Below are 25,309 nucleotides of genomic sequence, written 5' to 3'. Positions count from 1 at the left end.
GTCTGTCATCTGGCATGAGGAGAGTCAGTCCTTTAATATTCTTGAAGACAGACGAATGATAAAAGAGAAGTGCAGATGTATTCAAACAGCTACTGCCCAGCTCATCAAGTGAAGTATTAATACTTTCTACAACTCTGTGTGTTCTCTCCCCTCAGAAGCTGCATCAGGGGAACGTGAGTCCAAAATGAAATGCTGAGAGTCACTTAGGGGAGGTCATTGAAGGCTGGCTCATAGTGGAAATCTCTGCCCAGTTTCCAATCAAGATTTAAAAAATGTTACGTGATTATCGATCAGAATTCTTTGGCCATAGCTTTTTCTTTTATTCCTTCCTTCCTTCCTTTTTCCCTTTCCCTCCCTCCCTCCCTTCCTTCCATTTCTTTCTTTCTTTTTGGAAGGGAGAGCTTTATTAGTCTGCCTGGTGGCCATTCTGACAGGCTAGGAAGCGTAGCCTCCCTTGGCCAGAAGCTGTAAACAGGCACTTCCAAGGAGGAGCAAAGGGAACAAACAGGAATTTGTGCTGAGTGGAATGGCCGAATATACATATTTAATAAGCTACAGGAGGAATCATGGATATTTATGAAAGAAGAAACATGTGCATGTGCAACTGAGTTTCATGGGTTCTGTGTATGAAATATACATATTTTCATATGTACATAAATATGTATATAAATATGAATATATGTATATTTCATACACAGAAGCCATGAATTTATATACATATTCATATGTATATAAATATGAATATACATATTTAATAAGCTACAGGAGGAGTCATGGATATTTATGAAAGGAGAACCATCTGCATGTGCAACCCTTCATGGGTTCCGGGTATGAAAAATGGCAGTATTAGCATCTGAGGGTGGAGGTTTTGGCCCTGTGATGTCAAAAGGTAGACCAGAGGACATGAAACCCCTCACGGCACATCCTCCCTAGAATGACAGAACCATTCTGTGTTGGTGGTCTCTTATCAGGCAAAAAATAAGGGGCAGCATCAGGTGCATGGTTGATGTCAGTGATGGAGTCTTTTCAAAGGGCTAGATTGTGTTTAGCCCTTAGGGAAGAAAGGCTCATTGCGGTTAGCAAGGGAGCAGGTATAACTAGATGTGTCTGACATTACCCTCCCATCATGGCCAAGAACTCATTTTTCAATGTTACTCTGGGCCCCCCCTTAGCCAAGAGGGGTCCCCTTCTGTCTACTGGAGGGCTTAGAACTTCGGTCATATCTTAAAACCAAAATGCTTTGGAAGAAGAATTAGTGAAATAAATAGACTTTTGTGGGATCAATTACTGCAAGAAATAAGAACATTTAAAGCTTTTGCTACAACTTGCCCTACAGAACTACTCTCATCATTTTAATATGCATTGTTGTTTGTTTAAACCATTCTTAAATAATTATCAATCTATAGTATTTGTTTTCTGTATCCCAGACAGATGGGATTCTGGCATGCTCCAATTTGGCAGAACTCAGTTTGCTTTCAAAATGCCTATCCAATGAAATCCTTTTCGAGATTTCAAATCAGTATCCTAACAGGGTTTCCAAGATGGTCTCAATAATGACCATGTGCTAGTGGTTTTACATTTATATTGTTTGGATCAATGCTGATGATTTGATTGGAATAGGAGCAGCTGCACATAAAAAGTCTTTGGGGTGAGAGAGATTTGTCACGTTCCACTCTGATAAGAACTAAATTTGGACAGTGTGCATTTTGAAATGTTCATGGTACCACATTAAATTGCTAACAAATAGGAGCAATTACAAAAGATTAGCACAAGCCTCAAATCAAAATTCTAATGAAGAAAAGCACAGAGCTTAAAAAAAAAAAGATAAATCAGGAGTAGGAATAATAAAACGTTTCCTGTGTCAGGTTTACAGCTTGATGCAAAGAGGAAAAACAGACTTCTTTGCAAGTGTGTTCACACTAATACCCATCCTCCAAACACATCAGCCTAATGTCTTCCTCTCTGCTCCGTCAACACCCTTGCCCCCCACCCTCACTCTCCACACCCAGAATCAACCAGGGCTGATTATGGAGCAAACCATGAGTTTCACACAGTCCTATTCTGCACCATCTCTCCCAAAATGCCTGAATGCCTCTCAGCTTATGATTTCAATATCAGGAAGTTCTGTAGCACTATAAATGATAAACTGAAATCATACACTTACCATAGAAAGTTAGCTGTCCCCTTGCTACATTTTTCCCTCTGGAATTTTCAGCTACACATTCATATAAACCAGCATCCTCCTGCTGAAAATTAGGGATCTCAAGAATTCCATTTGACTTGTGTCTTCTGGCTTTCCTTGCTATTGGCTTTCCATCAGCTCTTCGCCAGATAATAGTTGGTACTGGACTGATAGCAAGAATAAAAAGGAGTGAATCAAACTAGAGAAAACTGGACCTTTTATCTGAACCTAAACGCTTCCTTCTTGGTTCTACACATATAAGGTTGGGTGTTTTGCAAACTTCATTCATTCCTCTATCTCCATTATAACTTTAATCATATCCACATCTCTAGCATTACTTATTTAGTGTTCTTAAAATCAAATAACTTTTCTTAACTTTCAATAAGGTGATCTGGCAGGGTGCAATGGCTCACATCTGTAATCCTGGCACTTTGGGAGGCCGAGGCGGACAGATCACTTGAGGTCAGGAGTTTGAAACCAGCCTGGCCAACATGGTGAAACCCCGTCTCTACTAAAAATACAAAAAAATTACCCGGGCATGGTGGCAGGTGCCTGTAATCTGAGCTACTCAAGAGGCTGAGGCAGGAGAATCACTTGAACCTGGGAAGCGGAGGTTGCAGTGAGCCAAGATCGCACTACTGCACTCCAGCCTGGGCGACAGAGCGAGACTTTGTCTCAAAAAAAAAAAAAAAAGTGATCTATCTCCTATACAATATCATCATTGAAATAAAAACAGATTTTTATATGTTATATATGTTTCCTCATATGTTTTTTGCTTTTCTTTTTTTTTTAATATATTTTTTTTTATTTTGAGACGGAGTATCACTCTGTCACCAGGCTGGATTGCAGTGGCGCAATCTTGGCTCACTGCAACCTCTGCCTCCTGGGTTCAAGTGATTCTCCTGCCTCAGCCTCCCAAGTAGCTAGGACTACAGGCGCCCGCCACCATGCCTAGCTAATTTTTGTATTTTTAGTAGAGACAAGGTTTCACCCATACATGTTTTTTTCTAAATAAAAAATATGAAAATAAAAATGTTCATGTGCATTTGTGGCAAATTAAAGATAGCTGCAAATTCTTTCACATTCCTCCCATTGAGATGAGGTCTATGGCCCCTCCCCTTGAATCTGGTAGCGCTTTTTAACCACTTTGACTAATAAATAAGACAGAAGTGATGTTGCAGGATCAAAGCTCAGGTGTTAAGAAACTGGCAGCTTCTGCTTTCTGTCTCATGGCAGCCCTGAGCTGTCCTACGAGAAGAGTGAATACCTTGAGACCGCCAGGAAGGAGAAGCCGTACGTAAGGCTTCCAGATAACAGTCTCAGTGACACCAGCCTTCCAACGTCCCCAACAAAATACCAGAAATGTGTGTGAGACTCTTGTGAGCTTTCTAGACCAGTTCATCTGTCAGCTAAATACTACTGAAAGACCTGAAGGATGCCACTAAAAGCAAAAGAATCAGCCAGCCAAGCCCTGCCTGAATTCTTAACCCACAAATTGTAAGATATAATAAAATTCTGGTGTTCCCTCTAAGTTGGTTATGTAGCAATAGATAACAGAAACAATATATTTCCATAAATCTATGTACCAACAATGCAAGTGCCCTACTTTGAGAAATATCCAAATAATGAATAAATGATAGTAGAAATAATGAGCTCATAAAATTTGGGAGACACAACCTATTGCTGACATACAGGAAGGGTTCACTCAAGGTACATTCTTTTGGACAACATGGTTTTTCTCCTTGTCATTTATATATTGAGAACCTTACCAACTTACAGCAGTCCATTTGCAAGATGGGTTGGGGAAACTTCGCTTAAAATAGTGAGAGAAAGAAAGATGCCATCTGTGAGGTCTTTATGTACTCTCAAGGCATCTATCATCCTACTGCCATAACTGTTGGAACAAATCTTAAATTGCAGAGAGGGCATCATTGAATCTGCAAATCAATGGTTTAGTGAGCTAACCACAGCTTTTAAGATTGTGGCTGCCTGGCAGGGGATACAATTATTTACTTATTTATTTTTCACAAATACACACACAGAGAAGTAATTAGACTAAAGACTTGCTAATCTTCTCTGGGAAACCTGAGATGGTATTTAAAACATTAAAGCCATCAACTCTACTATATTTGTTTTAGAAGAATTTAAGTTCGTTAGACAGACACTAACTCAAAATGCAGAAAAGGTCTATGAAAAGTACATAATCGGTGTCTTTATACTGATGAGATATGCACTTAATATATGCCTTTAAAAATAACCATACTGAGATGTAGTCTTCCTGCTCTTAAGTGGGCAGTGATGATGTGTTTCAGCAGCTGGATGTGCATACCCAAACATTTCTGTGTAGACTGAAGAAGCCAATTTGGGATTTTTGTTTTTATTCCAGCACTATTCAAACAGTGTGAATAGAGTTTAATTCATAACCCCCTTTGAAGTGTGAACAACGTGAATTCTGCTCTTTTTCACAGATGATTTTTCAAGGTGTCATCTTAAAAAATTCATCAAATGTATATCTAGACTACCCAGTTACCTGCTCTCATCTTTAATTTCATATATATAAATGCTTATACACAAATACTTTAAAATAAAAATAAAAAGTGTAATCATATTATCCTGTTAGCAATCTGCTTTTGTTCTCTTAGCATGGGCATTTTCTATGTCTTAAATGTTGTTTTGCAACTTGACTTTTAATGTCTGTAGAGTGTTCAATCCTATAATTATGTCTTAATTTATTTAATATGATAAGTTTTCAGGACATAAAAAATTACCACTGCATTGTACTGTACCAAAGTAAAGATACGACTGTAGCTTATTTGTCACGACTTGAAAACACATGGAAACCAAAACAACCTTTCTATTAGAACCGACAATAAAATGGAAAAAGGAACCTCTTCTATGATTGCTGTAAAACACAAAAATCATAAGAAAAGAGATTACACGCTGATATAAGGATTGGTGGAGTTAGTGTTGCCTGGCTCAGTGGCTAGGGACTATAATCCCAGCACTTAGACGAGCAAAGGTGGGAGGATTAGTTGAGGCCAGGAGTCCAAGACTAGCCTGGGCAACATACGCAGATCCTGCCTCTACCGAAAAATAAAAAAAAAAAAAGTTACTGTTGTTGCCTTAGTCAACATTTGGGCGCAGGAAAAAGAGAGTTAGTAATGGATTCGTCAGATAGATGGGGCTGGGCATAAAGATTGACACGGATCATTAAAATCCAAAGAAGATGTCAAAATTCTCACTTCAGATAATAGTTTATACTGTTTATGCCAAATCTTTATTGCTGGTTACTGGCAAATAAAAATCCCAAATGATGTGCATTTCATGTTCTTTATGCTGTCTGATATATTCTGTAAGGAAAAGTTAGCTAGTTTAGAAGTAGGCTTTTCTCAAGGAAGTCCACACTGAATAATAAAGTTGTAAACAATATTTGGACAACTTTGTAAAACAGACTCTCTTAGAGAACAACACGTCTTACCTATCTCTAGCCAGAGGAGAAGGAAATCCAAAGTAGAGAGAAGAGACTGAGAGTTTAAAAAGAAATTCAAGAAAAGTCTGATGCATCCTCTATAAACTGGGGCCAAAATGAAAGTCCGTATTTTTCCACATAGTCAGCTTAACTGTACCTCAAGTGGAGGCCATTGTTTTCCTGTCATTCTGGGTTAGACAGCATGCACATTACAGGTCATGATAATAGAACAAAATACTTTTTCAGAATTGCCCATTCTCCTTTCCTTTGTGGTCATGTCAGTTGTGGCAGCCTAATCCTTCTTGCACCATTACATGTCCTCTCTCCATGGTGAGGGGCAGAATCCAAGATGCATACACAGAATTACAAAGAGAAAGGCTTCACTTGCTTTTCCGTCACCTCAGAAACCATCGCTGTGAACAGTGCAAGAAAAACTCTATACCTGCTCAAGCTGAAGGGAGGATGAGAAGGAACGCAAACCAGAACTTACTTTCCTAAAGCAAAGCATTCCAGCTTCACCGTTGCTCCTTTTGCAGTCGGAACTGTTTCTGGGAACTGCACTTCTATTTTGGGCTCATATTCACCCATCACTCCTGTGAATAAATAAAGGGGCTAAGTCTTGGAGATTCTTTTAAAATGTATAAAATGTAAAACTCATTTTTCTGTTAATGCAGAATGCTTATACACATCATTATGTGCACAATTAATTCCTTCATTTAAAGCAGGTCCTATCTCCAGCAGTCATGAATTGTGGCTCTTCTCCCAGTTACTGCTACAGAAAAATTTGTGTCGCAGAACCACACCATTTGCCTGGATTAAATTCTCCATGCATACAACTTTGCCCCTCAAAAGTATTGTTTTAAGGTAGTCTTAAGGAAAAAAAGGAGAAGGGGATGAAGTGCTAGTCATCAGGAAAATTAAATTATCTCTTTGGAAGTATACTGCAGAAAAATTTGTAAGATTTATTAATAAAAGTACTCAAAAATACCTGCATGCTTAATTATGTCTATATAATAAAATAATTCTTCTGAGTAATCATTCTGTGGCCACAACTTTTACTTTCATTTCCAAGGCCAATATAAATGAATCATAAATTAGTATATTCAAGGTAACATCAAATGCCTGTATTTTTATTACATTTTGGACCTGTGAAAAAAGAATAACAAGATACAGCTACAGAAAACATTTAAGTTACACCTACCTTGCCAATGGCACACTTATTTGGAGGGTCATATTCTCCCACTTTTCCTATATCCCGGAAAATGACTCTACAATTATGCCCAAGGTAACACAGTCTAACAAACTAAGTCCATGCTTTGCAATTAAATACTTATCAGTTATTTCTTTCTTCCTTTTTCTTTTTTTTTTTTTCGAGACGAAGTCTCGCTCTGTCACCCAGGCTAGAGTGTGGTGGCAGGATCTTGGCTCACTGCAATCTCTGCCTTCCGGGTTCAAGCGATTCTCCTGCTTCAGCCTCCCCGAGTTGCTAGGACTACAGTTGTGCACCACCATGCCCAGCTAATTTTTTTGTATTTTTAGTGGAGACGGGGTTTCACCATGTTGGCCAGGCTGGTCTCCAACTCCTGGCCTCAAGTGATCCACCTGCCTTGGCCTCCTAAATTGCTGGCATTACAGGCATGAGTCACTGCTCCTGGCCTTATCAATTATTTCTTATCAATACATGCTTGACTCAATTTGCCACTGCTCTAATTGTTCTAATACATTTATTCTTATTCCATCTCTGATCAGTTTTTATGATCTTTGATTCAACTGTGCCCATAAAGAGTTTGGAATTACCTGGCTTACTATAAAAAGATAGGGCTCTCCATTTCATCTCTCCTTTAGGCTTCCCATAGTCAGAGGAAAAAGAGACTGAACCTTAGAAGGAAAGGTTAAAGACAAAAAATGGATGGGGGACAGGTGCAATCACAAAGAGAAATGATTTCACTCACTGGATGGGGGACAGGTGCAATCACAAAGAGAAATGATTTCACTCACTGGATGGGGGACAGGTGCAATCACAAAGAGAAATGATTTCACTCACTGGATGGGGGACAGGTGCAATCACAAAGAGAAATGATTTCACTCACTGGATGGGGGACAGGTGCAATCACAAAGAGAAATGATTTCACTCACTGGATGGGGGACAGGTGCAATCACAAAGAGAAATGATTTCACTCACTTCGCAGAGGTGGGCCCTTGCCTGTTTTTTTTTTTTTTTTCTTGAGACTGAGTCTTGCTCTGTCGCCCAGGCTGGAGTGCTGTGGTACAATTTTGGCTCACTGCAACCTCCGCCTCCCGGGTTCAAGCAATTCTTGTGCCTCAGCCTCCCAAGTAGCTGGGACTACAGGCACGTGCCACCATGCATGGCTACTTTTTGTATTTTTAGTAGCGATGAGGTTTCACTATGTTGGCCAGGCTCGTCTTGAATTCCTGACCTCAGGTGATCTGTCTGCCTCGGCCTCCCAAAGTGCTGGGATTACAGGCATGAGCCACCGCACCCCACCGAGGTGACCCTTTTCATCAGCCATTTCAGAGTTTGAGAAGCATCAAGAGGATCTCCTCAAACTGTGAGAAACAGAATCAACCCTGGGTGTCTGATGACTTACAGTCTAGCTAACTTTGCTATAAAGTATGTTGTCAATAGTGCAAACTCGAACATAATAGTTCTTCTTCTTGTTTTCATTTTTCTTCCTTTCCTGGAATGATGAGGAGTGTTGGATTTGGAAGGGACCTTTGATATCATTTGGTTCAGCAACCTTAATCTGGGTATTAATTTCCTCCTGGATGCACATTTTTCTAAAGAGAGGATCCACGGCTAGCAACCTATTCTTGAAGGGACGCTTATCCCTCCATAGGTTAAAAATCACAGTTCTAATCTATCCCTTTCTTTTACAAGCAAGGCTGTAATCTCAAGAGTTAAACGGTTTATCTTTAGTCCCACAGAAAACCAGTCGGTGTTGAAACTCAGGCCCCTGACTCCTCATCTTAATCTCTTACGAAGGCCTCTCACCACGAAATGAATAACACTACAAAAGTAGGTTCAAATACATTACACTCATGCTTGACATGTTCGGTTACAAAATTATTCCTCCTTTCTGGGCTAGCCTCTGCTGTCTGAGTTCTCTTGCCCCTGAGTCTGGGCTGGCCTTTCTTTCAGCATCTGCACAAAGCTGGCCTGGTAAAGACTCAGTGCATACTCACAACAACATTCACACACAGCTGTTGAACTTGCTAACAAACAGCCCGTACCGTTGAATCATCATCCCATAAATATCAGTAGTATGACTTTGAGCGCAGTGAGCAAGTTAACACCTTTTAGTGCTGTGTATATGGCTGTATACTCTGAGAGCAGTGTTAATTAAAAAGAATTGCCTTGAGAGAAGGAGGTCTTTCGTCTTCCCAGGAAATCAAGACAGCCTGCCTTGCAGTGTATCATGTGTTAGAGGGAGATGAGACAATAAGGTTAGAATACAAAAGCCAAGGAGGTCTTAGAAGTGGTCAGGTTTTTTCCCAGCCTCTCTCTGTCTATAAATATCACATATAAAATTGTGTTTATTTAATCTGATCATGAAAATTCCACCAAGGAGCAAATATATGTCACACAACCTTGTTTGAAAGAACTAAAATATCACTGGCAACGCAGAGATGCAATGTCCCAGATCCCTGAACTGTTATCTCCGCGTCCTAAAATCCTATCTATTTAGGCCCAAACTGAACATTTTCTCTCCCAGAATCCTTTACCTACTTACTGCCTGCCTTTCCCTCTCCTCTGTAGGCCCTACTCTCTAGCCCACAATGGTCTTTAAATGACCCAAATGATAAAAACTTCTACCTTTGTCTGTTTCCATTGATAATTTTTTTTAAAAAACAAGTTTTTAAGGTATAATTTACATACTAAAAAGTGCACCAATTTTAAGTGTGCAATCCAATGGTTTTTAGCAGATTTGCTGAGTCATGCAACTATCACCACAATCTAGTTTTAGAACATTTCCATTACCCCAGTAAGATCCCTCATGCCCATTCACAATGAATCCCCATTCCCAGTCTCAGCCCTGGGAAACCTCTAATCTGCTTTCTGTCTCTGTACATTTGCTTTTTTTCTGAATATTTCCTATAAATTAAATTGTGCAATATGTGGTCTTTTGTGCCTGGCTCCTTTCATTGAACATAGCGTTTTCGAGATTGATCGATGTTGTAACAGGTACCAGTAGTTTGTTCCTTTTTATTGCAGAATAATATTCCACTGTAGGATATGCCACATTTTCCTTCTCCATTCGCTGGTTGTATTAGTTTCCTAGAGATGCTTTAACAAAGCATTACAAACTCAGTGGCCCTAAGCAAAAGAAATTTATTCTCTTACAGTTCTAGAGGATAGAAGTCATAAATAAAGGTGTTGACAGGGCCATGCACCCTTTGAGACTCTGGGCAGAATCCTTCCTACCTTCTGGTGGTAGCTGTCAATCCTTGGCATTCATTGGCTTATAGTCATGTCAGTCCATCTCTGCCTCGGTTGTCACGTGACATTCTTTCTGTGTATGTGTGTCTTCCCATTGTGTTCTTAGAAGGACACCAGTCATATTGGATCTATGGCCCATCTTACCCTACCATGACCTTATCTTTACTGATTACATCTACAATGACTCTATTTCTAAATAAGGTTACATTCAGGGGCACTGGGTATTAGGACTTCACCATATCTATTTGAGGGACAAAATTCAACCCATAACACCAGTTGATGGGCATTTGGGTGGCTTCCACTTTTAGCTATTACCAATAATGCTTCCATGACCATTTACTTGCAAGTCTTTGTGTGGGCATATTCTCATGCCCACACCAAGTAGAGTTATTCTCTACTACTGTCTTGCTTGCTTCATGTTACTTATCACAATTTATAATTCTCTTGTTTATTCATGTGTTTAGTGTCTGCCTTCCATTTAGATGGCAAAACATATTACACCAAATAATGCGTCTGTCTTTTTCATAGCTATATTCCTAACTTCCACTGCAGGCTCTTCACTTGTAGGTGTTCAGTGAGTAACTACTGACATAAAACATTTTACATATAAACTTCAGGGTACCTCTTAAATAGCAATGCTGTTTTCTATCATCTTTATAGCTAGCTAGCTAGACAGACAGACAGAAAGACACACACACACACACACACACACACACACACACACAGAGAGCATCTCTTCTGTTGTTCTCTTACCTGCTTTAGGGATAGAAATTCTTCTCATTTTTTTCTGTATCCTTCACAAATCTTAGCCCAATACCAGTAATATGGGAAAAAATGTGATGGGTAAGGATTTGTTGAAGGGAGGAAAAGATGTAGGAATGCAGTGTTTATGCTGTGATATATAATAGCCATTAAGTCAAACATATACTTCTTTCCAGGCATAGAAGTCATTTATTAAGTATAATTATAGCTTCTAGTACAAGTTCACTCACTTAAGATCATTCTTTACTAAAATGATCTGTATATGTTGTTTATCTAGTCACACAGAGTGAGTGATTTCTGGATTGATACACAGTGATCCATATTTATGGCTACAGGAACGTGAATAACAGAGTCATCAGTAATAGATTAATGTGTATATATGGCAGTAGTACAGTACATAAAGAGAAGGATCAGAGATAGAATGGCATCATTTCACTGCTGTTTAAAAATTTTTCACTGTATATAAAGATTGGCCTAGTATTAAAGTCATAAAAACAAGAGAAGCAATTTTCTTCAACAATATTATGAACATCGTTTTGGAACACCTGTGAACTGTTCCATTTAATTTGGTTACAACTAGCACAGGATATGTTGTTATTTGACTAATTTTTTTATTTTAACTATTTTGGCCTTTACTTTCTGCATTAAATTTAAAAGCTGTTTCCTTTTTTGTTTTGTAAGAAATGAAAGGCCCCTTAAAATAAGAGTGCATTTATCAAGTCATTCTGCTGACCACCTGTACGCTTTTGCAATTAATTGGTGCACAGCTGCTCTAGTGATTTACAGAAGTAGGCTAAAAGAGTGCGAACATTGATGGAATTGCTCCAGAACCCCCTTTTCATCTTCGAACTATTAAAAAAGGTGGGAAGATGTAAAGACCTACCCAGGTCTACACAACCAAGGCAAAGTAGAAGTAAGGAACACATATAATTTAGTCTAGTTCAACCAAAATATACAACCTCAGCCATACTTTTCTGCTATATGAAATACATGATTTGCCTGTAAAGACAACTCTTGCTTTCAAATCTAAATAAAAACACCTAACATAATTTTATGCATAAAGTAAAAATGTCTTAATTCATTATAATTCATTGCCAACGTTTTATATTCTTTGGAGTAAGAGAGATACAACAATAGTAATGAAGGTTACGGCACTTGAAATTCCATATATCAAAGTCTTTAGAAGACAGGGGCTTAGTTGTATTAATATTCCAATAAATTAAATAAGTAAATATTCATTTGACACCAATAATAAGCCATATGCAGTGCCCACAAATGGGGGCACACTGTGGTAACACAGATCTGATCCTTATATTCATGACATTCATAGGCTACTCTTTTTCAGCACATGGCTTAGTAATGGGGCACATGCAGGCAATAACTGTTTATTGAATAACCAAAAGAGGTGATTTCATGAGGAAGACACGGTTGGCAGTTCTTAAGTATTTTTCCTAAAACAATGGTTCTCAAACTTGAAATCAACTGAAAGGCTTGAGTTTCTGATTTAGTAAGTTGAGATGCAGCCTATGAATTTGCAATTTTAAGAAGTCCAAGGTGATGTTGATGCTGCTGGTCTGAAGAATACACTTTAAGAACAACTTTCCTAACTATGAGCAAAAGCAAGAAGTTCCACCTAACATTAATAAACATATCTTAAGGGCTAGTCATTGGGAGAGTACTAGCAATGGAGTCCCAACTTGAGGGACCAAGTCCATCCAGAGTCTGGACTCTGTAGAAGAACTTGTGGCAACTGTATCTCCTTCAAAACCTGGACAATTATTAAAGTTGATGCTGATGTCTGTAAGAACACAGAATTTAACAAAACAACTGGCAATTTAGAGAATATGAAAGAGAAATCAGCAACACATCGTGCTTGTTTAAGTACAATTTGCAGAGACTCTGTTGGCAGAAGGAGACCAGTTTGCAGAGTTGCGTGCCATAAGATTTTTGCCAACACCTGCCTTAGCTGGCATCTGTGCTTACTAAATTTAACTACAGAAGGGACATTTACTAACTTCCACAGAGTGGGATTTTCTCCTGAAAAAAAAAGGCAAAAATTGTTTTATGAAAAGTTCCACATTGACTTTCTTGAGAAACAAGTCATATGATGTATATATCACTAACCTAAAAACATTTGGAAATATCCAATTAGTCACACAAATTCACCTGACTGAGTTTACCATTTTGCCCTTTTGAAAAAAGGCATGTTTTCCCCTGGGTTGAAGGAGATATATGTAGTCTAGTGGACTGTCCAAGTTATCTTCTCTACCACCACCACCATCCAGTAGGTGAATTCCCAGAGTATGGGGCAACAACTGTTGAGACAAGAACCTCCCCACTGCTGAACAGGAGAGGCAAGGTATCTCAAGGTGTCACATCACCTCTTACAGTCAAGGTTTTAAGGTGTCCTCAGAAACCTGTGAGAGATGAAAATAAATCTTATGATTTGACTTTAATCAAACCTGCACCACCTTCCTTCCTTTTCAATATTGAAAATGCAGAGATAACCTTTTTCAAGAAGACTGTCTCATTTAAAGGCAGAGAGGCCAAATACCTCTGCTTGCGCTGGACGGTACTGGTTTTCCTGAATTCCTGAAGTAATGAGCTAATAGTTTCCAGTTTGGGCAATTAGTTATAATGTCATCTTTTAAGCCAATTTTCACCTTCCTTCAAGGAAGTACTCCTATGTTTTTCCTACTAAAAAGTTATCCATGTATCCATGTTGTATTGAACTAAACACTCTATCTCTGTACGTGTTGGTCCCAGTTCAAGTCTTTGGAGCCACAAATAACAAGTATTTTAATGGACAGTCTTCAGATATTTAATGATATCATTTTGTCAAGGGTTAACAAAGTTTTTTCTGTAAAAGGCCAGAAAATAAGAATTTTATCTAGGTTTTGTGGGCTATACAGTCCCTGTTACTGCTCAACTCTGCCATTGTAGCTGGAAAGCAGCCATGGCCATAAGGTAAACAAATGGGAGTGGCTGTGTGCCAATAAAACTTTATTTACAAAAATAGGTGGTGGGCCCATAAATACTAGTTGGCTGATCCTTGGCTTAGAGGAAATGCAGAAGATAGCAAAGTTTGAGAGAATCAATAGAATCAACAGACAAATTATTAGAACTACAAGAAATTTCAGCAAGCTTGCCAAATACTGAATCACAAGAATAACAGTACCTTCCATATATAAGCAACAACTAATTAGATAATGTGATTAAAGATAAGATACAACTGTCCGGGCATGGTAGCTCACATCTGTAATCCCAGCAGTTTGGGAGGCCGAGATTGGAGGATCACTTGAGGTCAGAAGTTCGAGACCAGCCTGGCTAACATGGTGAGACCCTGTCTCTACTAAAAATACAAAAATTAGCTGGGTATGGTGGTACATGCCTGTAATCCCAGCTACTCGGGAGGCTGGGGCAAGAGAATTGCTTGAACCTGGGAGGCAGAGGTTGCAGTGAGCTGACATCGCACCACTGCATTCCAGCCTGGGTGACAGAGACAGACTCTATCTCAAAAAACAAACAAACAAAAACAAACGGATAAGCACAACTTACTGTAACAGCAAAAATGATAGAGAATCTAGGAATTAGCCAAGAATACCCAACATTTCTATAGAAAAATTATTTACAGAAACAGGCCACAGGCAAGGTTGGCCTGTGGGAAAGAGTTTGCCAATTCCTAGTTAAAACAAATAATCTGCCTGCTGCCTGGAATTATTTATTTTATCTTAGATTGTCTGACTCTTCATGGAAGTTTGGGTTGATTCCCAAGACCAGGCCCGGTTTCTTCACCCTTAAGCTGTGATTCTACACCTAATTTCCCTGTACACTTCACTGCTCCAAGGTAGTTCTTACCAAAATTGAAACTGAAGTGAATCTGCTTTAATTCTCTATTCTCCCCTGAGTATGGCCCCACTCCTGCTTCTAACTGCAATTAGGCTTCTCAGCCAGGCTATAATCCATGAGGGCAGAGAAGGACTTTTGCATCTCTAGAGACAAGTAGAGAACAGATACTCAATGAGTATTCGTTGGTTAAATGCATGATCAAAAGAATGCCCCAAGTCAACTCAATTCTAGGCTAAACACCTCTGCTTCCCTCTTTCATTTCAAGTCCCTCTATAAATGTATTATTCAGAACTCAATTCAATAATTCCAGTAAAGAATGAAACTTTAGACCCTTCATTAACTTGGAATTCTCTAAGACTGTAGGTTCCCACAGGCTGAAATCATGTCTTTTTATTTCATAGTGTGCCACACACAACGAGCACTTAACAGATGCTTTCTAACTGAGTAGCCAAATGGCCATCCAAGACCTTTAGCCCCCATGGACCTGAAATGGAATTGGCTATGCTAGAGGTCTAAAGATGACTGCCAAGTTCCTAAGCTTGTCAAACCTTCAAAATACACAGAGCCATTAAGATGCTATTAAATCAGATTAGCAATGGCAGTTTAGCAAAATATCTCACATCCTTTAGTCATTTAGATGTTCTCCTCATAAAACATGTTTTACGCCCACAGATCCTCAACTGCGATGTTGTCAGAGAATTAAAATCAAGACATGATTGCTGTGACAAAACCACACAAAGGTTGCAATTAGAAGTGAGAGTAAAATAAAGCAGTGTTTTGGTATAAACTCTAGATCTTAAATAATATAAAATTATGTCTAAGTGGAAGGCATATCTCTACCTGTTGCCTGTCTAAATGCCAGGTCTTCAATAAAGGGTTGTAGATCACGTCTCCAATCTAGAAGAGATCTCCTAAATGACTGGGTTCAAAAACCCACTAGGTTAATTAAGTGGCCTACAAATAAAGCTCCCTTTTCATGAAGAAAAATAGTGGCTGTTGATGCCCAGTTGAGGATCTAATGTAGCATGGAGCAGTATTAGGAAAGTTTACAGTGACCAGTTGGCAAGACCATAATGGAGGATGCATGATGCTGCAACAAGAATATTTCAGAATCTTTTAGTTTTCTGCTTTCTATTTTAAAGGTCTCCTTTGGTCTTAAATTTAGAAGTTTGTGGGGAATGTAGTCTTCTGAGCCACTAGGAGGTATAATGGTCACAGAGGTGAAGGCTCACAAAATGGCGCACTGTGGCCTGAAAGACTGAATGCACCTAGTTTTCTGCAGGGATCAGCTGTCAGCATTGATGAGAAATCGGATTCAATGAGCAGCATCTGTCTGTTAAACCTGATATTATCTGGCTTGGGCAAATGTTGAGATTGGAGTTAAGTAGGCTAGAAAGTTGTGACTGGAATCCTTGAAGACAAGAAGAAGAAACTTTAGATAGAACTTATTATAAATCACCCATTTTGCATAGCTGAGAAGACTAAGGACCAAAGAAATGGTAATGATTTGTCTTATGAGAGCTGCTGGTACGTCTGGGACTATACTCCAGAATCCCTTTACTTGCCCTCTTGACTTTAGTCCTGGACATGACTAAAAGTTGTGAAACTGAAGGATGCTGAGGTCATCGTTTGGGCTTTTTCCTACTGGGTGAAAGCTTGATTTAAGATGAGAAGATTAAATACTTCAATGCTGCTCTTATTCACTGTTTTTCATGGCTAAATTAGGCTGTGAAAAATGAGTGAGGACTTGGGAAAACATGGTCAGGTATTTCAGTTATATTTGAGAACATACATAAACATTTTAAACATTTTAATTTTATACTGAAGTATAATAAACATTTAGAGAAGTTAACTTTACATTTGAACCCCCAAAGACAATATATCTGGTTTATATATACATACCTATATCCAAAATGTATATGATTAACAATGTATGTAAATATAGAAATGGAGGAGAGAAAGGGAAAGAGAGACAGAGTACAGAGAAAGAGAGAATTTGAAACTCTAAGATAGGATAATCTCATTGTTCCTTGTTTTGTAGCATCTCTTCTATGTGGAGTTCCAATTCGGGTTAATATTCAAAAATATTTAACAATTACTGTGCAATGCATGGACCTATCAGACAGACACAGGCTATAAATTGCTCAACATTCATCTTTGTTCTAATAAGCAAAATTTAAAAAACAAAACAAAACAAAAAAAAAACCTTCCAAACCTTCCAAACCAGTCCCCAACCAGTCTCCAGGAAAACAGAAAAAAAGGCAAAGGCTAAACAATGAATTTTCATGCTAAATGATTTCCCTGTGTGTGTAATGTAATGTGCATAAACAGTGTAACAGACATTATCTCATCTTCTCAAGACTGTCCTAATCTCTGCTAATTCTTTTCATCTTAAGCCATTTTAGAGAGAGCCATGTAAGTGGCTAAAGACAGAAGAGCCAATATGATTATCATCGAAGGCTACTATTTCTTTAGTAGTTATGCTATATGAGTGGTCTGTTACCTTTGTTTATGGAAATTTAGGGATAACTCTTTGAGATCTGTGCAGGAAGCATATAACAGAGCAGGCTCATCACTATTTATAACCAACAGCTGTGCTAATAAGGATCAATGGACTACTTTAGTACCTGTACTAATAATAACCATGATGTATTCTTCCCAATTATACTTTCTCCCTCTCATGGTTCCTAAGCAACAGGTGTACTTTCCCAAATCAGTTATCTTCTCAAAGCAGATTTAAAAATATCTGGATAAATAACTATAAACTCTGATAAAATCTGTTCTCACATATATCTACCAACTCATATTTTTATGTGTCCCAGAAGTGAATACTGCAAAGTAATATAGTTATTTGAAATAATTCTCACTATAAAATTATCAAAAATTATAAAGCAAAAGAAACGAAGCAAATGTCTAAATCTAGAGCCCAAACAGCCTTTTCTGAACCTCAGTGAAATAATATGATGATCAGGGACCAGGAATCTGTCCTGATGCCATTTTTCTTATCCGAATTCTCTGATCTTCAGTTCCCTTGTTTCTCAAAAAATAAAGATATAAAATTGCATGATCTCTAAGTGCCTATTAGGTCCAATAATCTTTATCAAACAATGTTCTAAAAATTTGAAAACTCTATGTTTTAGAAAAGTGAGAAAAATAATGACAAGCAAAAAGAAAAAAATAAATCAAAATTTACCACTAAAAGTTAAACCCTTTAGAGTTTAACATCGTTAGTCACTTTGGAGAGTATTATTCCACTTTTCCCTGTCATTATCCACTATTTTAAAAAAGAAGAATAATATGATCTATACACTATAGTAATCTGTCTTTTAAAAATATAATTTGTTGAGCATATTTTAGGTAAGAAAGTTATTGATGATATACTTCTGTTTTGTCACTGTTCAAAGTACTTTCAATTATGACACATAAAATAACTATCTGAGGTAGATGTTGTTACCCTTATCTTACTGATGAGAAAACTAAGTACAATGAGGTTAAACTGACACATTCAAAGCCACGTGGCTAATAAATGGTGGGGCTGAACTCTGCCTGGACTGCTTGGCTTCGGGATCCTCATGGCTTGTGTCCTTACCTCCTGGCCCCACATAGGAGACATCATCTGAGATGTAGGAAGGAGTGAGCCATGTGAAGAGCTGGGGAAAAGGGAACAGGGAGCCCCAGGGTTTTGCAGGACTCGGGTGAGTGGTAAATGGTCAGTGAACAGACATGAGACTCATCACACCTCATTTGTATTAGGAACTGAGCCAAGGTTCACTGTTCAACTTTTATGACTCACTGTGGCCTTTTGGGTACAAATAAGAAATCATAGTCCAGACTGCTTAGCTGAAATGCCCAAGAAACAAGCTGAATATTGGGGAAATACAGTTCTGCCAGCTACATGTGCTCTTAGCAAAGTAAATGACAAGTCTAGCAATTAGTTCAGCTCAGGCTTCAAACTCCTTTGCCTTGCTTTTTTTCCCTTTTCTGAGGCAGACAGAGGATGTGAAATTTTGAGTGTGCTTCAATCATCAAAATGATTGTACAAATTCTATACTCACCTTGCACTTACCAGTCTAATATACAGTCACCAAATCCCAGATCTTGAGGAGAGAGAATTTCATTGATTTTACTGTCACAGAATAGATTTTAACAAGAATGTCCTCTTTATTTTGCAATCTCTTCTTGATTTGTATTTCCCCTTTTCTCTCATCTTCAGAAAACAGCTAATTTAATAACCTATTTTGTGCTTAGTAACACAGTTTGAGTGTCCATTTTATATACTCCAGTGTAAATGGAAAAGACATGAATTTTCACCATGCAACACTCATGGAAATTAAGAATGAGTGGGCATTAATGGCTGAAGAATGAGATCTTTAGTCTGCTAACTTTGTGATAAAATATTTTAATACAAAACATTTGTCATCTCTATGAAGATATACCAGACAAATCAAGATAAATCTAAAAGCCAGGGAAAAGGCAGAGTTGTTGCCAGTTTGAAGTGTACATGATGATTCTGGAGTGCTTGTGTTCCTGAATGTTTGTTTCTTGTTTTTTGAAGAGGCAGTTCTGTGTGACGTCTGTCCCTGGCTATGTCACAGTATATCAAAGTCAATATGTAATTACATCCATGACTTGATAGACCAAAACAGATAATACCACTGAACAGATATTCTGGCCTAAGTGCATTTGGGTAGAAGCCACAGGGGCTGTATTTTTAAGAGATTTCTTACAAAATGCCACTGGAGCATATCTTTTGAAACTTTCTTCATCTGTCAGTCTGGAGAGATAGCACTGATAGCTTTTGACAGAGCTAGTACCTTACTTACTTTTCTCTTTAAGCTGATAAGAATTTTCAGTTTTATTGAATATAATGTAGCTTAATCCAACATATTAATTTAACATTTGCCATGTGGCAAGCACCGTGCTGGAGCGCAGTACAAAGTCGGATGAAAACGCTGATCTTTCCTTGATCATAATGTGAGCAAGGTGGGGAAGGCAAGCGGACAAATATGAATATACCAGATGAATGTTATTATAGAAAGATGGCCAAAAAAGCACAAAACAAATAATTCCTCCTGTTGCCAAGGGAGAAGTTATGTATTTGGTTTTACAAATAATGTTTAAAATAGTATTCTTGATTTTTCCTTTGCTAACCTGTGCAGTAAAACCATTTCAGTAAAGGGCATTCCCATACACTCAGCTGCTATGCCAGAAACCTATGTGTCATCCTTGATTTTCTCTTCCACTGTCTCCCACATTTAAGGAATGATCAGGTTCTCGCAGCTTTACCAGCAAACTATATCCTGAATCCATTTCTCTCCTTCTCTGCTGTTACCCCCTAGTTTCACCCCCCATCATTTCCCAACTGAATTAATTGCAGTAGTATTCTGATTGGATTTCCAGTTTTCACTATTGTTTTCTGAAAGTCCGTTTTCCACATAGCAGCTAAGCAATCTTCTTAAAAACATAAATCACTCTTTTGCATACAATTCGCTAACGGCTTCTCGCTGCACTCGAAGTAAAATCTGCTAATTTCTCCTATTTCTAATTAAGATTAAAACTCTCTTTTAACCTTAATTCTATCCACCCTCCTACCTGCTCACTATGCTTCAACCACGCTCAACTGTTCTTCGTGTTTTCTGAACATGCTGAGTGCTTTTTTTCAGGCCTCAGGGCTTTTGCATATGATGTTAACTCAGCCTGGAAAGCTCTGCCCTCTGATCTTAAGAGGGCCGGTTTCTTGCTATTCAGATCTCAGCTCAAATGTCCCCTCCTTAGAAAGGCTTTCCATGGCTGTCTAAAGTAGACACCCACCACCCCCCAAACCCACCACAGAGCTGCTATTTTATCATACTGGTTTACTGGCATCTAAAATAATAGGATTTTGGTTTTGTTTATGTTTGCTTGTTTCTTTGTGTCTGCATCCCCCAGGAGAATGCAAGAGCCTCCTGTTCACCAGCACTCAGCATAGTGGCTGTCACACAGGAAGTTCTAAATAAATGTATGTTAAATGGATGAATAAATGAATGGTTAAAATCTAAATTATTTGCTCAAAAATTCCACAGTGTAGTCTATGTAGAAAGGATGCTCAGACCCTCTCTTCAGAGCTGCTTAGTATATAAAATACTTTGTTCTGGAAGGTTCAGGTTCAGAGCATCACTTGGGCACAAAGTTCACTGACAAAACACAGGGAAAGAGTAACAAACTTGGGGAATAGAAATCTGAGTTCCCGTCTTGCATTTGTCAAGTTTTTCTTGTATAAATTCAGATAAGAGGTGTTACAGTATAATGCAACGAAGCACTGTGAGGGTTTAAGATATCAGGCTCTGGAGTCAGTAAGACATGGGTGCTGGGTGGAAATCTTGGAGCCATTAATTTTTAACAAATGTGGCTGAGCCCCAGTTTCCCCGTCTGCAAAAGAAAATGTTTATCATATAATTGATTGAGATTTAAATGAGATAATTCACATATAGTTCTGTGCACAGTGACTAGGCACATATTAAGTGTCAAGTAGATGTTTCCTATTAATGTTTTTGGCTGATGGTATCCTCACTTGTGTGATGGGTCTCGTCATTCCTGTTCATAATAGAAGATCTGAATGTGTACTAGACAGTAAAAGGATTTAAAAAGAATAGAAACCTGAACATGTCTACAACGACTGCTTAAATCATGATATCAGCCCTTGTTGAAGGGCTTAATTATGTCTTTGTTTGAATTTATTCAACAAATATTTATTGAGAATCTTCGATGTACCAGTTGCGAAACCAGGTGCAGCAGAGGTGGCTGTGAATAAGGTACTACATATGCTTTAAAAAGGCAAATTGCTAGTAAGACAGACAGTGAAGAACACAGACAACTGTGATGCAGAATTATGAGATCTTTTGGGGTATGGTCGTAGACTCGATACAGTAGGTACCTGACGCAGCATGGTTGGGTGGCAGGGTGAGCAAGCAGAGATGGCTTCCTGGAAACAGTGACATCTTTAAAGAAACTGGAAGAACCAGTATCAGTTTATCCAAGGGAGAAGCTGAGAGGATGGGACTAAGGAAAGGAGGAGCATTTCAAGAAGAGGGAACAGCATATATAAAAACCCGTGGTGGGAAAGGGCATGGTACTCCTAGAGTCTGGCATACACGGCCGTCTTTACAAAGTACACAGTGATTTTTACTACACATTGTTAAGTCATTTAGGTAATTAAGAATATATGAATTTCATATATTTTCTTGAAATATTCTAATAGTGTGGGGAATTAAAATTTCTGTCTCAAACAAGCCTTGTTATGTCTACATTTCACTGTGGTGGGAACTATGCGTTCAGTACTGTACATCCAGAAGTTATTTGGATAATTGGACACAGAATACTAAATTACACAGAATTGATTAATGAGCTAATTGTTCAACCTTTCACTTCATTCTGACTGTGTATACAGTTTAAGTGGGAGAGAAACAAGAAATACCTTCCTTTGTTATTTATATTCACCTAAATCCTCATTCTATTCCTGTTGAGATTAGCAATTAGATTTCTAATTAGTTTTCCAAAATGGATTCATGGGTTTATCTCTTACACAAGTGGAGAAAATATGGGTACCAAATATAGGCTGCAGTAAACTTTTCTTACATTTAATTTAGACAACAAAGCTTCATGTGCCAACAACATAACATACCTCCACATTCATCCTGTGATTGCAGAAACAAAATTAACAAAATTACTTGAAAACTCACCATCATTTCTCAATATTAGTGGTGTAGGTGGCCCCAGGACCTTGTGGTTTGTCACGGTATTGGTAACCACACAGGTATAATTCCCAACATCTGATTTTTCTACTTTGGCAATATACAGATTCCCAGTCTCTTGAGAAACAAAGCGGCGATTATCCTGATAGGAAGGGTATTCATTGAAGATCCAGGCATAACTCAGCTCTGAAAGGAAAAAAATCTTCATTACAAATATGTCTTTTGGCACTGGAACTCTACTGTTTTCATGAAAGAAATGATCAGGTTAAAAATGTATACATTGTTGTCCAATGACTCTTTTTCAGCCCACTAAATACAGATAGGAAGTAATCACAGTCCCCCGTGGCATTTTACCAGCCTTTCTACTATCAGTCAATAAGGTTTTATTTCCAGAGAAGTAAAAGATACACTGATAGCTGATTAAGCGATGTCCAACCTCTTTAAGTCAAGGGCTAAGCATTTATAGTTTGCTAATCAGGTGTCAGGCACTATGTAACATGTATTGAGTAATGCTCAAATTACAGACCCAGGGTGCCTATAATCTTGATATAGTAATGCTGGAAGCCACCCTGGAAACTATTTAGATCATTTCTTTTGTTTTATAGATAATAATCATTATATTACATCATAATGCCCCATACTTGCATAGCACTTTATGCTTTCCAATATATTTGATAGTTTTATTTCCATTAACTGAGAAACGGGCACCTAGGAACAGAGTAACTTATTCAAATTCTTAGCTCTAGTTAGAAACAGAATAATTCCTGAGTGTCAATGCAGTCTTCTCCCAATGCCTCCTACTATCAACTCAAATTTTTTCTTCTCACTTGTGAGGTTGAATACTTTTCCATCATTTTAGTAAGAGAGCAGTTTAACACTGTGGCAAACACTCATTAAGTATACACTGACTGACTAGTTGACTGATTCCACAAATATACATCCATATTAAAAAAAATTAGATCCACGAGGGAGTGGATATGAGATAGTGATAAAACAGCAACATTTTCACACACCCTTATCCCATAAGACCAGTGGGATGAATTTCATAGGCAGTTGTATCAAAAATGTTCCTTTGAAAGTTCTAACTTTTATAAGAATTAGGTAAATGTTTTATGAAGGACCACATGAGCCCATGCTTTCCATTTCAGAGAAGACCACTAAATGACAGTGAGTATAAATGATTTGCTGCAGTGAACTATTGTGCTCCAAGGAAATCAAACTGCTTCAGCTCCAGGCATTCCACGATTCCTCTCTTTAAAGTGTAATTTCCAGATTTGTCCAAAGCTGGAGAAGTGATATACTAGCTACTGGCACTGAGTAGCCAACATGTCCCACTTTATCTTCAAAAATTACTTTGTTGAGGGGAGGGTAAGGGAACAACTAAATGCAATGGGGCCTCTGGTTTCAGAACTAGTTGACTGAGTTCTTATATGTCACTTTTTCATATGATCCTGAGCTAAAGTCTAAATGTATAAAGTGTCCTTGGAAAATAGCAGAAAGGTCACTTCAGTTTTGTAGAGAGAACGCTAATTACTGTAAAAGGCATTTTTTGTACTGTAATCCTTCAATGTGTCCCAATTGTACTTGACCTTAACAACTGAATGTGCAACAGGAAACATATTCTGCCTTAAATCCACTGTTTACGCACAAAGGAGGGGTCATGCACATTGCTTTCCCTTTATCACTGGATTATAACATTTCCACATGTATTATTTTAGAAAGATATAATTATGTTTATATGAGAATGGCTAATCATTTTATTTACGCATGTGCATGTCATTACAAGTAACCCCATGCTGGTGTCAAGAGGATACTCAGTGTAAATATACAAGTGCTTTCCAGAAAGCTTCCTCAAGAAACTAAAATCTGGGGGAGGAAAAGCCCCTATAATACATTGTGAAGAAGTACTATCCCGTATGGCAGGCTTTCAACAAACAGCATCGCAATGCAGTCCTTACATACTCAACAGGTGAGTTTCAAGCAAACCTAGTAATCTATCAGCACCTAAGCTTTCTCCTATGCAAAATGAGAAGATTACCTATCCCCTAATTATTTATAAGAGAGTTTTAAGTATAAATTAGCACCTCCAAAGTCACATGATGGAAGTTAGAATGTAATTTACCAGCACAATACTAATCAACTCACATTTCTCCAAGGAGAGTTGGAATCAAATACCGGAAACTTTTTTTTTTTTTTTGAGATGGAGTTTTGCTTTTTGTTGCCCAGGCTGGAGTGCAGTGGCACGATCTTGGCTCACTGCAACCTCTGCCTCCTGGGTTCAAGCAATTCTCCTGTCTCAGCCTCCCAAGTAGCTGGGACTACAGGTGCCCACCACGACGCTTGGCTAATTTTTGTATTTTTAGTAGAGACAGGGTTTCACCATGTTGGCCAGGCTGGTCTCGAACTCCTGACCTCAGGTGATCTGCCCTCCTCGGCCCCACAAAGTGCTGGGATTACAGGTGTGAGCCACCGCGCCTGGCTAGGAAATGATTTTTTTTTCCCTGCAATATTTTTCAGAACTCTCAGTAGTAGCTACTGGCTGCAAGGCTCTCTGAATTCTGCGGGAGGCTCATTTAGCAACCAGAAAGTCGATATTGGGAAAATGGCATCTGCTTCATTCTTTTTCTAATTGGAGAGGAACAACAACAACAACAAAGTAAGACTAAAGTTCAAATCTGCGTTATATTAGGGAAGCCATTTAAACTTCATGTTCAGCTTCTTGGTCCATAAAATGAGGACAATTTTAAATGTGATGCAGGTAAGTGGTGAGCAACCGATTATGTGAAAGCACTTTGAATTCTCTAAAGGGCTGTACAGATGTTAGTTATTATTGGTGTTGCACTTCAACAGGTTAATCA

General features: G+C 38.3%; 1 protein-coding gene across 38 annotated transcripts in view; it reads right to left on the bottom strand.

The window, feature by feature from the left end:
* The window catches only part of CNTN4 (contactin 4), a 959,094-nt gene that overhangs the window by 168,571 nt on the left and 765,214 nt on the right, over positions 1-25,309 (bottom strand). For 37 of the 38 annotated variants that reach the window (XM_017005783.2, NM_001350095.2, XM_047447536.1 and 34 more), the window contains 3 exons: positions 22,440-22,637; positions 6,142-6,244; positions 2,165-2,349 (listed from right to left, as the gene is read on the bottom strand). In XM_017005783.2, coding sequence (XP_016861272.1) covers positions 2,165-2,349; positions 6,142-6,244; positions 22,440-22,637 — 486 coding nt within the window. Of the gene's footprint in view, positions 1-2,164; positions 2,350-6,141; positions 6,245-22,439; positions 22,638-22,977; positions 22,998-25,309 lie in introns of those variants that run through there. The other variant, XM_047447537.1, reaches the window with a different exon arrangement.

This window comes from Homo sapiens, chromosome 3 (genome assembly GCF_000001405.40).
Source record: "Homo sapiens chromosome 3, GRCh38.p14 Primary Assembly".
Lineage (NCBI taxonomy): Eukaryota > Metazoa > Chordata > Mammalia > Primates > Hominidae > Homo > Homo sapiens.
The sequence above is the reverse complement of the archived record's forward strand: the minus strand, read 5'-3'. Positions and strand labels throughout refer to the sequence as shown.